Here is a 17266-nt window from a genome sequence, read left to right on the forward strand (position 1 = left end):
TGTGGATGTCCTTTCTGTTTGTTAGTTTTCCTTCTAACAGACAGGACCCTCAGCTGCAGGTCTGTTGGAGTTTGCTAGAGGTCCACTCCAGACCCTGTTTGCCTGGGTATCTGCAGCAGTGGCTGCACAACAGCGGATATTGGTGAACCGCAGATGCTGCTGCCTGATGGTTCCTCTGGAAGTTTTGTCTCAGAGGAGTACCCGGCCATGTGAGGTGTCAGTCCACCCCTACTGGGGGGTGCCTCCCAATTAGGGTACTTGGGGGTCAGGGCCCCGCTTGAGGAGGCAGTCTGCCCGATCTCAGATCTCAAGCTGCATGCTCAGAGAACCACTACTCTCTTCAAAGCTGTCAGAGAGGGACATTTAGGTCTGCAGAAGTTACTGCTGTCTTTTTGTTTATCTGTGCCCTGCCCCCAGATGTGGAGCCTACAGAGGCAGGCAGGCCTCCTTGAGCTGTGGTGGGCTCCACCCAGTTCGAGCTTCCAGGCCGCTTTGTTTACCTAATCAAACAACTAACTCAGCAATGGCGGGCTCCCCTCCCTTAGCCTCGCTGCCACCTTGCTGTTTGATCTCAGACTGCTGTGCTAGCAATGAGTGAGACTCTGTGGGTGTAGGACCCTCCGAGCCAGGTCCGGGATATAATCTGGTGTGCCATTTTTTTAAGCCCCTTGGAAAACGCAGTATTAGGGTGGGAGTGACTCAATTTTCCAGGTGCCATCTGTCACCGCTTTCTTTGACTAGGAAAGGGAATTCCTTGACCCCTTGTGTTTCCCGGGTGAAGCGATGCCTCACCCTGCTTCTGCTCGTGCATGGTGCGCTGCACCCACTGTCCTGCATCTACGGTCTGGCACTCCCCAGTGAGATGAACCTGGTACCTCAGTTGGAAATGCAGAAATCACCCATCTTCTGTGTCACTCACGCTGGGAGCTGTAGACCGGAGCTGTTCCTATTCGGCCATCTTGGCTCCTCCCCCATAGCTAGTGGTTCAAGTGTTTTCTGTTTGATCCCCATTTTAAAGATTCCCAGGCCGGGCAAGGTGGCTCATGCCTGTAATCTCAGCAGTTTGGGAGGCCGAGGCAGGTGGGTCATTTGAGGTCAGGAGTCTGAGACCAGCCTGACCAATACAGTGAAACCCTGTTTCTATTAAATACAAAAAAAAATTAGCCAGGCATGGTGGCACGTACCTGTAATGCCAGCTACTTTGGAGGCTGAGGCAGGAGAATTGCTTGAACCCGGGAGGCAGCAGTTGCAGTGAGCCGAGATCGCACCACTGCACTCCAACCTGGGCAACAGAGTGAAACTCCATCTCAAAAGAAAAAAAAAAGATTTCCAACTACTTTCATCTGATGGCTTTAGCAGCCTTTAATGATGATGGTGTAGTTCTATTATTCCTCATCTGATGGCTTTAGCAGCCTTTAATGACGATCGTGTAGTTCTATTATTCCTACATTAGAGTAGAAATTCTTTTCCTTATTAACAGTTTGGTTACTCTCAAGTAGAATTTGTGGAAAAAAACAAGATAAATAATTATTTCCCTTTACTGTTAGTTTATTATTTCAGAATAATGAATTGGAGACCTAGAAATTAAATGATAACCAAGTAGGTAATTGTCATTTTTTTCTGTACTTGTAAATTTATGGATCTTTATATATTTGATATGCGTGTGTGTTTTATGCTCAAAATTTCTTTGCTCTGTGAGTCCTCTTCAGCCAGTGAGTCAATTTGAGTTGGTTTCTATGTTATTCTAGCATGACCCTGGTAGTTTCTGACAGCTTTCTTGATTTCTGGCATGATAGGTTCTCAGACTTATCTTGTACATTACTTGCCCAACTTAAAAGTGGTGTTTAGAGATCTGTGTGTTTGGTGTGCTTATTGCCACTGAGTTGTTATTATTCCCAAGCTTTTACAGTGGTCAGAGCTAATTAGTAAACATTTGTTTTTTAGAAAGAGAAAAGTAATTATTTTATTGTGATATTTTATATTCAAATGTAAGATTATAGGACTTTTATTTAATCATTTTGATTTTACAAGGGCATCTTTTTTCTTTTACACTGAATCATGATTCCTAATGATATTAATATATTATTTATTTTATCCGAATATACATAGTATTCAGGTTTTAAAAAATATACTTATATAGTAATTTCAAAATAACAATTATGTTGCTACTACTAATGGCATGACATTTAATGCAGTTTAAGATTTTGGGGGGGTTCTTTGTGTCCTTAGGATATATTCCACCACTGATGTACAATACAGATACTACATTTAAGCTATTCCATCAACTTTATGTACAATTAGGTTTATTTATTTATTTAAAACAGCTTGATTTTATCTTGCAGTTTTCACTTGTAGAATATACACCAATAAGGATATACAAATGATTGTCTTTTAAAGTCACTTGAAAAAAATAATTCTCTGTACAGATAATCTACCAACTTGTTGGTTAAATTTATTTGCTTTAGAGTTGCAAGGTACTTATTTTAATTTTTAATTTTTTTAAAAAAATTATTTGTAAAATCTGATAAGTAAATATTATAAATATGTTGTATAACATGTTTATATATATATGTATATGCAATGTGGAATGACTAAGCTATTTTACATAAGCATTACCTCACATACTTATTTCTTTGTGGTGAGAACGCTTAAATCTACTCACTTAGCAATTTTCAAATATATAGTATACTGTTATTAACTGTAGTCACCATGATATACAGTAGATCTCTTGAACTTATTTCTCCTGTCTAAACAAAATTTTGTTTCCTTTGACCGACATCTCCCCAATCTCTCCACCCCTCAGCCTCACTCTCTGTTTTTTTTTGTTGTTGTTTGTTTCAACTTATTTTAAGTTCAGGGGTACATGTGCGTTATGTGCAGGTTTGTTACATAGGGAAACATGTGCCATGGTGGATTGTTACAAAGATCATCCCATCACCAAGGTATTAAGCCCAGCATCCATTAGCTATTCTTCCTGATGCTCTCCCTTCCTGACACACTACCCCTGACAGGCCCCAGTGTGTGTTATTTCTTCCACCTAATGTGTCCATGTGTTCTCATCATTCAGCTCCCACTTATAAGTGAGAACATGAAGTGTTTGGTTTTCTGTTCCTGCTGAGGATAATAGCTTCCAGCTTGATCCATGTCCCTACAAAGGACATGATCTCATTCCTTTTTATGGCTACATAGTATTCCACAGTGTATATGTACCACATTTTCTTTATCCAGTCCACTATTGATGGACACCAAGGTTGATTCTACATCTTTGCTATTGTGAAGAGTGCTGCAATGAACATATGTGTGCATGTATCTTTATAATAGAATGATTTATATTCCTTTGGGTATATACCCAGTAATGGGAGTGCTGGGTTGTATAGTATTTCTGCCTTTAGGTCTTTGAGGAGTCACCACACTGTCTTCCACATGGTTGAATTAATGTACACTCCTACCAACAGTGTAAAAGTGTTCCTTTTTCTCCACAACCTTGATAGCATCTGTTGTTTTTTGACTGTTTTTCCTTTTCTTAACAATTTGGTATTATGTTTTTTGACTTTTTTTCTTTTTTGAGACAGAGTCTCGCTCTGTTGCCCAGGCTGGAGTGCAGTGGAGTGATCTTGGCTCACTGCAAGCTCCACCTCCCGGGTTCATGCCATTCTCCTGCCTCAGCCTCCTGAGTTTTTTGACTTTTTAATAATCACCATTCTGACCGGCATGAGATGGTATCTCATTGCAGTCTTGATTTGCATTTCTCTAATGATCAATGATGTTAAGCTTTTCTTTTCATATGTTTGTTGGCCACATGTATGTATTCTTTTGAAAAGTGTCTGTTCATGTCCTTTGCCCACTTTTTAATGGGGTTGTTTGTTTTGCTTATAGATTTGTTTAAGTTCCTTGTAGACTCTAGATATTAGGCCTTTGTCAGATGGATAGATCTACAAAAATTTTCTCCTATTCTGTAGGTTGTCTGTTTGCACTGACTGTATTAGTCTGTTCTCACGCTGCTAATAAAGACATCCAAGACTGGGTCTATAAGGAAAAAGAAGTTTAATGGACTCACAGTTCCACACGGCTGATGAGACCTCACAATCATGGTGGAAGGTGAAGGAAGAGCAAAGCAACATCTTACATGGTGGCAGGCAAGAGAGAATATGCAGGGCAACTGCCCTTTATAAAACCATCAGATCTTGTGAGACTTATTTCCTATCATGAGAACAGCATGGGAAAAACCCATTCCCATGATTCAATTACTTCCCATTGGGCCCCTCCCACAACATGTGGAGATTATGGGAACTACAATTCAAAATGAGATTTGGGTGAGGACAGAGCCAAACCATATTATTCTGTCCCTGGCCCCTCCCAAATCTCATGTCCTTACATTTTGAAACCAATCATGCCTTCCCAACCATCCCCCAAAGTCTTAACTCATTTCAGCATTAACTCAAAAGTCCATAGTCCAAAGTCTCATCTGAGACGAGGCAAGTCCCTTTTGCCTGTGAGCCTGTAAAATCAAAAACAAGTAAGTTACTTCCTAGATACAATGAGGGTACAGGCATTTGGTAAATACACCCATTCCAAATGGGAGAAAACAGTCAAAACAAAGGGTCTATAGATCCCACGCAATTCCAAAATCCAATAGGACAGTCATTAAACTTTAAAGTTCCAAAATGATTTCCTTTGACTCCATGTCTCACATCCGGGTCATGCTGATGCAAGAGGTGGGCTCCCACATCCTTGGGCAGCTCTGTCCCTGTGGCTTTGCAGGTTAGAGCCCCAGTCCTGGCTGCTTTCATGGCCTGGCATTGAGTGTCTGTGGCTTTTCCAGGTGCATGGTGCAAGCTGTTGGTTGATCTAACATTCTGGGTTCTGGAGGACTGTGGCCCTCTTCTCACAGCTCCACTAGGCGGCGCCCCAGTAGGGACTCTGTGTGGGACCTCCAACCTCACATTTGCCTTCCTCACTGCCCTGGCAGAGGTTCTGCATGGGGGCCCTGCCCCTGCAGCAAACTTCTGCCTGAATATCCAGGGGTTTCCACACATCTGAAATTTAGGTGGAGGTTCCCAAGCCTCAATTATTGACTTCTGTGTACCTGAAGGCTCAACACCACGTGGAAGCTGCCAAGGCTTGAGGCTTGCACCCACTGAAGCCACTGCCTGAGCCATACCTTGGCCCCTTTTAGCCATGGCTGGAATGGCAGAGACACAGGGCACCAAGTCCCTAGCTGCACACAGCAGGGGAGTCCTGGGCCCAGCCTGTGAAATCAGTTTTTCCTCTTAGGCCTCCAGGCCTGTGATGGGATGGGCTGCCTGGAAGGTCTCCGACATGCCCTGGAGACATTTTCACCATTGTCTTGGTGATTAACATTTGGCTCCTTGTTACTTATGCAAATTTCTGCAGCACGTTTGAATTTCTCCCCAGAAAATGGGTTTTTGTTTTCTATTGCATCGTCAGGCTGCAAATTTTCCAAACTTTTATATTTTGTTTCCTCTAGAACACTTTGCTGCTTAGAAATTTCTTCTGCCAGATAGCCTAAATCATCAGTCTCAAGTTCAAAGCTCCACAGATCCTAGGGCAGGGGCAAAATTTCACCAGTCTGTTTGCTACTAAAGTGTAACAAGAGTCACCTTTACTCCATTTCCCAACAAGTTCCTCATCTCCATCTGAGACCGCTACCTTAGTCTGGACTTTATTGTTCATATTACTATTAGCATTTTGGTCAAAGCCATTCAACAAGTCTCTAGGAAGTTCCAAACTTTTTCACATCTTCCTGTCTTCTGAGCCATCCAAACTCTAGGAAGTTCCAGACTTTCCCACATTTCTGTGTTTTCTTCTGAGCACTCCACCCACACTGCTCCAACCTCTGTCTGTTATCCAGTTCCAAAGCTGCTTTCATATTTTTAGGTATTCTTACAGCACCACCCCACTCTACTGGTACCAATTTACTGTATTAGTCCATTTTCATGATGCTAATAAAGACATACCTGAGACTGGGTAATTTATAAAGAAAAACAGGTTTAAGGGGCTCATTGTTGAAAATGGGTGGGGAGGCCCTGCAATCATGGCAGAAGGTGAAGGAGGGACAAAGGCACATCTTACATGGTGGCAGACAAGAGAGCATGGGTAGGGGAACTGCCCTTTATAAAACCATCAGATCCTGTGAGATTTATTTACTATCACAAGAACAGCATGGGAAAAACCTGCTCCCATGATTCAATTACCTCCCACCAGGTCCCTCCCATGACATGTGGGGATTATGGGAACTACAATTCAAGATGAGATCTGGCTGTGTCCTACTGATGATAGTTTCTTTTGCTGTGCAGAAGCTCTTTAGTTTAATTAGATCCCATTTGTCAATTTTTGCTTTTGTTGCAATTCCTTTTTGTATTTTCATCATGAAATCTTTACCTGTGCCTATGTCCTGAATGGTATTCTCTATATTTTTTCCAGGGTTTTTATAGTTTTGGGTTTCACATTTAAGTCTTTAATCTATTGCTTTAATCTATTTTGAGTTAATTTTTGTATATGGTGTAAAGAAGGGGTCCAGTTCCAATTTCCTGGATATGGCTAGCCAGCACTCCCAGCACCATTTGTTGAATGGGGAGTCCTTTCCCCATTGCTGATTTTGTCAAGTTTGTTGAAGATCAGATGGTTGTAGGTTTGTGGCCTTATTTCTGAGTTCTCTGTTCTGTTCCATTGGTCTATGTGTCTGTTCTTATAACAGCACCATGCTGTTTGGGTTGCTGTAGTCTTGTAGTATAGGTTGCAATCTGGTAGTGTGATGCCTCCAGGTTTGTTTTTGTTTTTTGTTTTTTGCTTAGGATTATCTTGGCTGCTTGGACCCTTTTTTGGCTCCATATGAATTTTAAAATCTTTTTTTAAATTCTGTGAATAATGTCAGTGGTTGTTTAATGGGAATAGCATTTAATTTATTAACAATTAATAAATTGTTTTTGGGAGTATGGCCATTTTCACAATATTGATTCTCCCTATCCATGAGCTGGAATTTTCTCCATTTGTTTGTGTCCTGTCTAATTTCTTTGAGCAGTGGTCTGTATTTCTCTTTGAAGAGGTCCTTCACTTCCCTTGTTACCTCTATTCCTAGGTATTTTATTCTCTTTATAACAATTGTGAATGGGAGTTCATTCATGATTTGGCTCTCTGCTTACCTGTTGTTGATTTATAGGAATGCTAGCAGTTTTTGCACATCGATTTTATATCCTGAGACTTTGCTGAAGTTGTTTATCAGTTTAAGAAGCATTTGGGCTGAGATGATGGAATTTTCTAGTTATAGGATCATGTCATCTGCAAATAAAGATAATTTGACTTCCTCTCTTTCTATTTGAATACTCTTTATTTCTTTCTCTTTCCTGATTGCCGTGGCCAGAACTTGCAATACTATGTTGAATAGGAGTGGTGAAAGAGGTCATCCTTGTCTTGTGCTGGTTTTCAAGGGGAATGCTTCCAGGTTTTGCCAATTCAGTATGATATTGGCTGTGAGTTTTTCATATATGTCTCTTAGTACTTTGAGGCATGTTCCTTCAATACCTAGTTTATTGAGGGTTTATTTATTTATTTATTTGAGACAGAGTCTCCCTCTGTCACCCAGGCTGGATTGCAGTGGCATGATCTCAGCTAGCTGTAACCTCTGCCTCCTGGGTTGAAGCCATTCTCCTGCCTCAGCCTCCTGAGTAGCTGACACTACAGGTGCCTGCCACCATGCCTGGCTAATTTTTGTATTTTTAGTAGACATGGGGTTTCACCATATTGGCCAGCCTGTTCTCAAACTCCTGACTTTGTGATCTGCCCACCTTGGCCTCCCAAAGTGCTGGGATTACAGGCATGAGCCACCATGCCCAGCTGTTTATTGAGAGTTTTTAACATGAAGGGATGTTGAATTTTATCAAAAGCCTTTTCTGCATCTATGAAGATAATCATGTGGTTTTTGTCGTTAGTTCTGTTTATGTGATGAATCACATTTATTGATTTGCATATGTTGAACCAACCTTGCATCCTGGGAATGAGGTCAACTGGATCATGGTGGATAAGCTTTTTGATGTGTTGCTGGATTCAGTTTGCAAGTATTTTGTTGAGGAGTTTTGCATTGAAGTTCATCAAGATGATTAGCCTGAAGTTTTCTTTTTTTTTTGTTGTGTCTCTGCCAGATTTTGGTATCAGAATATGCTGGCCTCATAGATTGAGTTAGTTGGGAGTCTCTCCCTTTCAATTTTTTGAAATAGTTTCATTAGAAATGGTACTAGTTCTTCTTTGTACCTCTGGTAGAATTCAGCTGTGAATTTGTCTGGTCCTGGGCTTATTTTGGTTGGTAGACTATATATTACTACTTCAGAACTCATAATTGTTGTGTTCAGGGATTCAGTTTCTTCCTGGTTCAGTCTTGGGAGGTGTATGTGTCCAGGAATTTATTAACTTCTAGATTTTCTAGTTTATGTGCATAGAGGTGTTTATAGTGTTCTCTGATGATTGTATTTCTGTGTGGTCAGTGGTGACATGCCCTTTATAATTGCTGATTGTGTTTAATGGATTCTTCTCTCTTTTCTTTTTTAATAGTCTAGCTAGCAGTCTATTTACTTTATTAATTAAAAAAAAACAGCTCCTGGATTCATTGATTTTTTTGAAGGGTTTTTAATGTCTCTGTTTCCTTCAATTCTGCTCTGATCTTGGTTATTTTCTGTCTTCTGCTGACTTTGGGGTTTGTTTGCTCTTGGTTCTCTAGTTCTTTTAGTTGTGATGCTAGCTTGTTAACTTGAGATTTTTCCAGCATTTTAAAAAAATTTTATTGTTATTATACTTTAAGTTTTAGGGTACATATGAGATTTTTCCAGCTTTTTGATGTGGGCATTTAGTGCTATGAATTTCCCTCTTAACACTGTTTTAGCTGTGACGGAGATTCTGGTATGTTCTCTCTTTGTTCTCATTAGTTTCAAATAACTTCTTGATTTCTGCCTTAATTTCATTGTTTACCCAAGAGTCATTCAGGGACAAGTTGTTCAATTTCCTTGTAATTGTGTGGTTTTCAGTGAATTTCTCAATCTTGAGTTCTAGTTTGATTGCATGGTGATCTGAGACACTGTTGTTATGATTTCAGTTCCTTTGCATTTGATGAGTGTTTTATTTCTGATTATGTGATCAATTTTAGAGTAAGTGCCATGTGGTGGTGAGAAGAATGTATATTCTTTGAATTTGGGTCAAGAGTTCTGTAGATATCTATCAGGTGCACTTGATCAGTTCAGGTCCTAAATATCTGTTAATTTTCTGTCTTGATGAAATGTGTAATATTATCAGTGGGGTATTAAAGTCTCCCAGTATTATTGTGTGGGAGTCTAAGTTTCTTTGTAGGTCTCTAAGCACTTGCTTTATGAATCTGGGTGCTGCTGTATTGGGTGCATATATATTTAGGATGGTTAGCTCTTCTTGTTGAATTGAATCCTTTACTATTATGTAATGCCCTTCTTTGTCTTTTTTGATCTTTGCTGGTTTAACATCTGTCAAAAACTAGAATTGCAACCCATTATTTTTTCTGTTTTTCCATTTGCTTGGTAATCTTTCCTCCATCTTTTTATTTTGAGCCAATGTGTATCTTTGCACATGAGATGGGTCTCTTGAATACAGCATACTGATGGGCCTAGGCTCTTTATTCAGCTTGCCATTCTCTTTTAATTTGGGCATTCAGCCCATTTACATTTAAGGTTAGTATTGTTATGTGTGAATTTGATGCCACCATCGTAATGCTAGGTGGTTATTTTATAGTCATGTTTATGTGATTGCTTCATAGTGTCACTGGTCTATGCACTTCAGTGTGTTTTTGTAGTGTCTGGTAACCATTTTTCCTTTCCATATTTAGTGTTTCCTTCAGAAAGTCTTGCAAGGCAGGCCTGGTGGTGATGAATTCCTCAGCATTTGCTTGTCTGAGAAGGATTTTATTTCTCCTTTGCTTGTGAAGCTTATTTTGGCTGGATCTGAAATTCTGGGTTGGAAATTCTTTTCTTTAAGAATGTCGGATATTGGTCCCCAATCTTTTCTGGCTTGTAGGGTTTCCACTGAGAGGTCCACTGTTAGTCTGAGGACTTTCCTTTGTAGGTGATCTGGCCTTTCTCTCTGGCTATCCTTAACATTTTTTCTTTCGTCTGGACCTTGGAGAGTCTGATGATTATGTGTCTTGGGGTTGATCTTCTTATGAAGTATCTTACTAGGGTTCTCTGCAGTTCCTGAATTTGAATGTTGGCCTGTCTTGCTAGGTTGGGGAAGTTCTCCTGGATGATAACCTTAAGTATTTTTTCCAACTTGATTCCATTCTCCCTGTCTCTTGCAGTTACCCCAATCAGTCCTGGGTTCAGTATCTGTACATAATCCCATATTTCTTGGAAGTTTTGTTCATTACTTTTTTTTTTTTTTTTTAATTGAGACAGAGTCTCACTCTGTGGCCCAGGCTGGAGTGTAGTGGCACAATCTTGGCTCACTGCAACCTCCACCTCCTGGGTTCAAGCAATTCTCCTCCCTCAACCTCCCAAGTAGCTGGGATTACAAGTGCGTGCCACCACACCCAGCTAATTTTTTGTATCTTTAGTAGAGATGGGGTTTCACCATGTTGGCCAGGCTGGTCTCAAACTCCTGACCTCGTGATTGGCACACCTTGGCCTCCCAAAAGTGCTGGGATTATAGGCATGAGCCAGTGCCCGGCCTTTTGTTCTTTTTTCTCTATTCTTCTCTGTCTGTCTTATTTTAGAAAGGTGGTTTTCAAGCTCTGAGATTCTTTTCTCCACTTGTTCTATTATGCTATTGATACTTGTGATCGCATTATGAAGCTCTTGTGTTGTGTTTTTCAGCTCCCTCAGGTCAGTTATGTTCCTCTCTAAACTGGCTATTCTGGCTGTCAGCTCCTATATTGTTTTATCATGATTCTTAACTTCTTTGCATTGGGATATGACATGCTTCTTTAGCTCAGTGAAGTTTGTTTTTACCCACCTTCTGAAGCCTACTTATTTCAGTTTGGCCATCTCAGCCTCAGCCCAGTTCTGTGCCCTTGCTGGAGAGGTATTGTGGTCATTTGGAGGAAAAGAGGCATTCTGGCTTTTTGAGTGTTCGGCATTTTTGCATTGAATTTTTCTCATCTTTATGGGCTTATCTGCCTTTGATCTTTGATGTTGCTGACCTTTGAGGTTTTTGTGGGGTCTTTTTTGTTCATGTTGTTGTTGTTGATGTTGCTTTCTTTTTGTTTTTTTTTCTTTTAACAGTCAAATCACTCTTCCTTAAGGCTGCAGCAATTTGCTGGGGGTTTATTCCAGACACAAGTTGCCTCACTTTTTCCTGTACCTGGAGGTATCAGCAACGAAGGCTGAGAAACAGCAAAGATGGCAACCAGCTCCTTCCTCTGGAAGCTCCGTTCCCGGGGGAACTGACCTGTTGCTGGCCTGAATGTGCCTGTAGGAGGTGGCTGGAGACCCATGTTTAGAGGTCTCATCCAGTTAGGAGGAATGAGATCAGGGACCCACTTAAAGAAACAATCTGGCTGCTTTTTGGTAAAGCAGGTGTGCTGTGTTGAGGGGGACCCTTTCTCATTAGGACTATGAATTCTCCAAAGTCGGCAGGTTGGAACAGCTAACTCAACCAAACTAAAGAGATGGTGGCCACCCCTCCCTCCAGGAACTAGGTCTCATCTCAGGCAGACCCCAGCTTGTTGCTGTTAGCTGGCTGGAATTCCAAGCCAGTGGGTCTTAACTTCTGAGTTGCCATGGAAGTGGGGCCTGCAGAACAATGCTTGCCTCCCTTCCTAGGGATATGTACAAATGGATCTCCTGCCTTGCCGGGGATCCTGGGGCATGAGTTTGTAACACTCCTGGGTCTCTGTGTGTGCCTGGGCAATGCTGTGCCGGGACTCCACACAGCTCTGTGTATTAGACCCAAGGCCCTGGTGGCATGGACTTATGAGGGCATCTGATCCATGGGTTGCAAAGATCTGTGGCATAAGCTGGTTTCCTGGGTGGGGTCCCACAATCACTCACCATTCTCTTGGCTGGGGGTGGGTGTTCCTTTGACTCCATGCTGCTCCTGGCTGGGCCATCGCCCCATCCTGCTTTTCTTCATTTTCTGTGGGTCGAGTTGTTTGCCTAGTCAGTCCCAGTGCCAGAACTTGGATATTTCAGTTGAAGGTGCTTAATTCACTTGCCCCTTTTATTCCCCTTTGTGAGTGCCATGGACCACAGCTGCTTCTAATTGGCTATCTTAGCACCTTCAGATTTGCCCTTTTGAGGCTATTTTGTAGATCCTGTAGGCATGCTTCATTGATTTTTATCCTTTTTTCTTTTGTCTCCTCTGACTTTGTATTTTCAAATAGCCTGTCTTCAAACTCACCAATTCTTTTTTTTTTGCTTGATCAATTCTGCTGTTAAGAGACTCTTAACACTTCATGTACTCTTCTGTATGTCAATAGCATTTTGAGCTCCAGAATTTCTGTTGCATTATTTAGTATGTCAATTGCATTTTTGAACTCCAGAATTTCTGCTTGATATTTAAATATTATTTCAATCTCTGTATTACAGTTATCTGATATAATCCTAAATTCTTTCTCTGTGTTGTCTTGAATTTCACTGAGGGTCTTCAACACAGCTATTTTGAATTCTCTGTCTGAAAGGTCACATATTTTTGCTTCTCCAGGATTGGTCCCTGGTCCATTTTTAGTTCATTTGGTAAGGTCATGTTTTCCTGGACGGTTTTCATGTTTACAGAGGTTCATCAGTGTCTGGTCATTGAAGAGTTAGGTATTTATTGTAGTCTTTGACATCTGGGCTGTTTCTCCCCATCCTTTTTGAGAAGGCTTCCCAAGTATTTGAAGGGACTTTGGTATTGTAATCTATGTCTTTGGTCACTATAGCCATATCTGTATTAGGGAGCATGTCAAGCCCAGTAATGCTTTGGCCCTTGCAGACTTATAGAGGTACCACCTTGGTAGTCTTGGTTAAGTTCTGGGAGAATCCCCTGAATTATTAGACAGAGACTCCTGTTCTCTTCCCTTAGCTTCTCCCAATCAAGTGGAGTCTCTCTCTTTGTGCTGAGCTGCCCTGAGCTGGAGTAGGGGTTATGCAAGCTCCCTTGTGGCCATCACCACCGGGACTGTGCTGGGTCACATTCAATGCCAGCACATCACTGGGTCTCACCTAAGGCCCACAGTGACCACTGCCTGGCTACCACCTATGTTCATGCAAGACCTAAGAATTCTACAATCAACAGTTGGCAAATCCAGGCATGTCTCTTTCCTTCCCTTTAGGGCAGTGAGTTCCTCTTGGCCCTAAGCAGGTCTAGAGATACCATCTGGGAACCAGAACCTGGAGTTGGAAACGTCAGGAATCTACCGGTGCTCTGTTCCACTGTGGCTTAGCTGGGACTCAAGCTACAAGAAAAATTCTTTCCTACTTTTTCTTCCTCTTCTCTCAGGCAGAGGAGTCTCTCCCCATGGCCCACCATCACCTGAGGCCAGTGGTAAGTACTTATTGGCTATTGCTGATGTTCACTCAAGGCCCAAGGGCTCTTTAGTCAACTTGTGGTGAATGCTGCAAGGTTTAGGTCTCTACCTTCAGGGAAGTAGGATCCTCTGTGGCTCAGGGAAGGTCCTGAAATGTCATTTAGGATTCAATGCCTGGGATGAGGACTCCAAGGGTCTGCTTGGTGCTCTGTCCCATTGTAGGCAAGCTGGTACCCAAGTTGCAAGACAAAGTCCCCTTACTCTTTCTTCTCTTTTCCTCAAGTAAAAGAAGTTTCTCTCCATAGCCACCATAGCTGAAAATGTACTAGGTCACACGTGAAGCCAACATGGCACCAGGTCTCACCCAGAGTCTGCAGTGAGTACTGCCTGCCTACTGCTGGTGTTTATTCAGAGCCCAAGGGCTTTATAGTCAGTAGGTGATAAATTTTGCCAGGACTGGGTCCTTCCCTTCAAGGCAGCAGGTTACCTTCTGGCCTTGGGTGTGTCTAGAAATGTTGTCTGGGAGCTAGGACCTGGAATGAGGGCCTCATGACACTGCCTCCTGCCCTGTTCTACTATGGCTGAGATGGTATCAAAGTTACATCACAAAGTTCTCTTTATTTTCCCCTCTCCTCTCGTCAAGGAAGAAGTGTTTCCTAGAGCTGTGAGCTGTACTGCCTGGCATTGGGGGACGGGTGATATAAGTACTTTCTTGGCTGATGCAGCTGGCGTTTCACTAGGTCACATGCACTTCATCTCCACTGGTCTGAGCCCAACACCGCAGCAGAACTTGCCCAGGAATTGCAGTCCTTGTGGTCTAGACTGTCTTTTAAGTTTAGTCTGGACCTTAGAGCACTTTAGCCCATGGTGATGAAGCTTGCTGGAACTCAGGTTCTGACTATTGGGATGGGTAACTCCTTTCTGGCTAGGGCTGGTCTAAATGCTACCTCTGTGGGCACTGGCTTAGTTCTACCTAGTGTTGCTTTCTAGTGACAGAGCAGCACTGAGTTCCAATGCAAAATTCCACAGTAACTGTGCTTTCCCTCCTCCAAGTGCACAGATTCTCTATGTGTGCCATGCGACTCTTGTTGGGAGATGGGGGAAGGGTGGTGTCAGGAATTGAAGACTGTCTTTTCTACTTCATTGTTTCTTTCCTTCATACAGTGTTCATAACAGGTACTGTAATCATTCACCTGATTTTTGTTCTTGTGAAGGTTCTTTTTTGTGTGGATAGTTGTTCAGTTTGGTGTTCTTGCAGGGGTATGGTTGCTGGAGGCTTCTATTTGTCTATCTTGCTCCATCTCCCCTTTTCTTCTCTGATTTCTCTTGCTGGTACTTCCAGTACCATATGGACTAGAAGTTGTGAGAATGGGCATCCTGCTTGGTACTGGATCTTCGTGGAAAGGTATTTAGCTTTTCCCCACTGGATATAATGTTAGCTGTGTGTCTTTCATAAATGGCATTTATCATATTGAGGAACTTTCCTTCTATAACTAAACCATTGAAAAGTTTTATCAAGAAAAGATACACTTTGTTGAGTGCTTTTTCTGCATTAATTGAGAAGATCATTGGTTTTTCTATCTCATTTTGTCAATATGATGTGTCACACTGATTGATGTGCATATGATGAACCAGCCCTGCATGACAGGGATAAATCCCACTTGATCATGATGTACAATATTTTTGATGTGTTGTTGAATTGAGTTTGTGAATATTTTATTGAAGATTTTTGTATCAATATTCATCATATTTATCATAGATATTTTATAGTTTTCTTTGTAGAAATTTTTGACATAACTTTATTGTGGGAGAGAGTATGCAAAGTGACTCTTTAAGGTATTTTTTATTGATACATATTAAATATACATAATTTGGGATACATATAATAATTTGATGCATTCATATAATCAAATCAGGGTAATTGGGATATCTATCACCTTAAATATCTCTTCTTTACATCAGAAATGTTTGAATTATTCTCTTTTATTTTGAAATGTACAATCAATTAATGTTAACTATAGTTTCCCTAGTGATCTATCAAATGCCAGCTCTTATTTCTTCTATCTAAGTATATATTTGTGTCCATTAATCAACCTGATTTCATCCTCCCACTACCTTCATAATTTTCTTTTCTTGTAATGTCTTTGCCTGGTTTAAATTTCAAAGTAATGCTGGCCTCATAGAATGTATATGTAACTATTCCCTCTAGCTCCTTTTTTTTTTTTTTTTTTTTTTTTTGGAAGTTTAGGAAGCAAGGCATTAATTCTTTGAATGTTTAGTAGAATTCAGCCATGAAGCCATCTGGGGCTAGGCTTTTCTTTGTTGGGAGTTTTTTTTAAATTACTTCTCCAATCTCTTTATTTTTGATTGGTCTGTTAAGACTTTATATTTCTTTCTGGTTCAATCTTGATAGGTTTTGTTTTTGTGTGAATTTTACCATTTCCTCTAGCTTATTAAATTTGTTGACATATAGTTTTTCATAATGGTTCCTTATGGTCCTTTTTATTTCTGAGGCATCTGTTGTAATGTTTCCACTTTCATTTTTTATTTTATTGATTTGTCTTCTATTTTATTCTTAGTCTAGCTAAGGCTTTGTGTTTTCCTTTTTTCAAAAAAAACCCCTCAGTTTTATTGATATTTTCTGTGGTCTTTACATTCTCTTTGTTTATTTCTGTTCTAGTCTTCATTATTTCCTTCATTCTGCTAACTTTTGGTTTTGTTTCTTCTTTTTTCATTCATTGAAGCATTATGTTAGGTTTTTTTTTGGGATTGTTCTTCTTTTTTAATGTGAGCTTTTATTGCTATAAAGTTCCATTTAGAACAGCTTTTCTGTATCCCATAGGCTTTGGGAAGTTGTATTTCTGTTGCCATTTGTGCCAAGATATTTTTAAATTCCCCTCCTGGTTTCTTCTATAATGCATTGGTTATCCAGGAGCATATTGTTTAATTTTTCCATATTTGCAAAATTTTCAAGATTCTTCCTGCTATTAATTTATGGTTTCATGTCGTTGTGATTGGAAATTATATTAGATATAATTTCAATCTTCTTAAATTTGTTAAGACTTGTTTTGCAGTGAACATATGGTCTATCCTAAAAAATGTTGCATGTATACTAGAAAAGAATGTGTCTTATGCTGCTTTTGGATGGAAAGTTTTGTAGATGTCTGTTAAGTCCTTTTGTTCTAACATGCAATTTGAAAAAAACTCTGAGAAAAAAGCTGAAAAACAAGTCTTCTGAAAAAAAGTCTGAGAATGATTGTTGTTTGGTTTTATTAAATTTATAAATAACTGTAGGGAGAAATGACATCCATATCATGTGGAGTTCTCTTTATGAACATGTAACACTCCTGGCTCTTAAGAACATGGTGTCTTTGCATTTGTTCTGTGTGAGTTTCAGAGAATTTTATAATTTCTCTCACACAGGTTTTGGACGTTTCTTCTAACCTGCTTTAAAAGTGTTCTTTGAATTATTGCTGTTTTGACAAGGCAGAAAATATTTCTTATTGGTTTCTTCATAAGTAGAAAATCTGAGTTTTTACTCAATCATATACTGGCTATCATACCCTAGACTACCCACAAATCTGTGATCAATTTTCCCTTTTGGAATAAAGAGAGAAGACCTTGTCTGAGATCTCAGACTGTGGTATGAGAGGAATTATACAATGCAAGTTAGTGGAATAATATTCTTCAATTCATCATTGTTAGTTCATGTATTTTATAAACAAATTTTCTTTAACATTTTCCTCTCCTAAAGCACGCAATCTTTTTTTGAGTTCCCACCTCATATTACAT

The 17266-nt window shown here is 40.4% G+C and overlaps 1 annotated feature.

The window, feature by feature from the left end:
- Window positions 11443-11612: an enhancer, noted in NCBI's record as "experimental_85421 CRE fragment used in MPRA reporter constructs". NCBI's record gives its function as "activates a minimal promoter by MPRAs in K562 erythroleukemia cells, with activity observed for the introgressed 5:43760003 variant allele {active_cell/tissue: K562}" and the evidence as "EXISTENCE:reporter gene assay evidence [ECO:0000049][PMID:34662402]".

This window comes from Homo sapiens, chromosome 5 (assembly GCF_000001405.40).
Source record: "Homo sapiens chromosome 5, GRCh38.p14 Primary Assembly".
NCBI classification, from domain to species: Eukaryota; Metazoa; Chordata; class Mammalia; order Primates; family Hominidae; genus Homo; species Homo sapiens.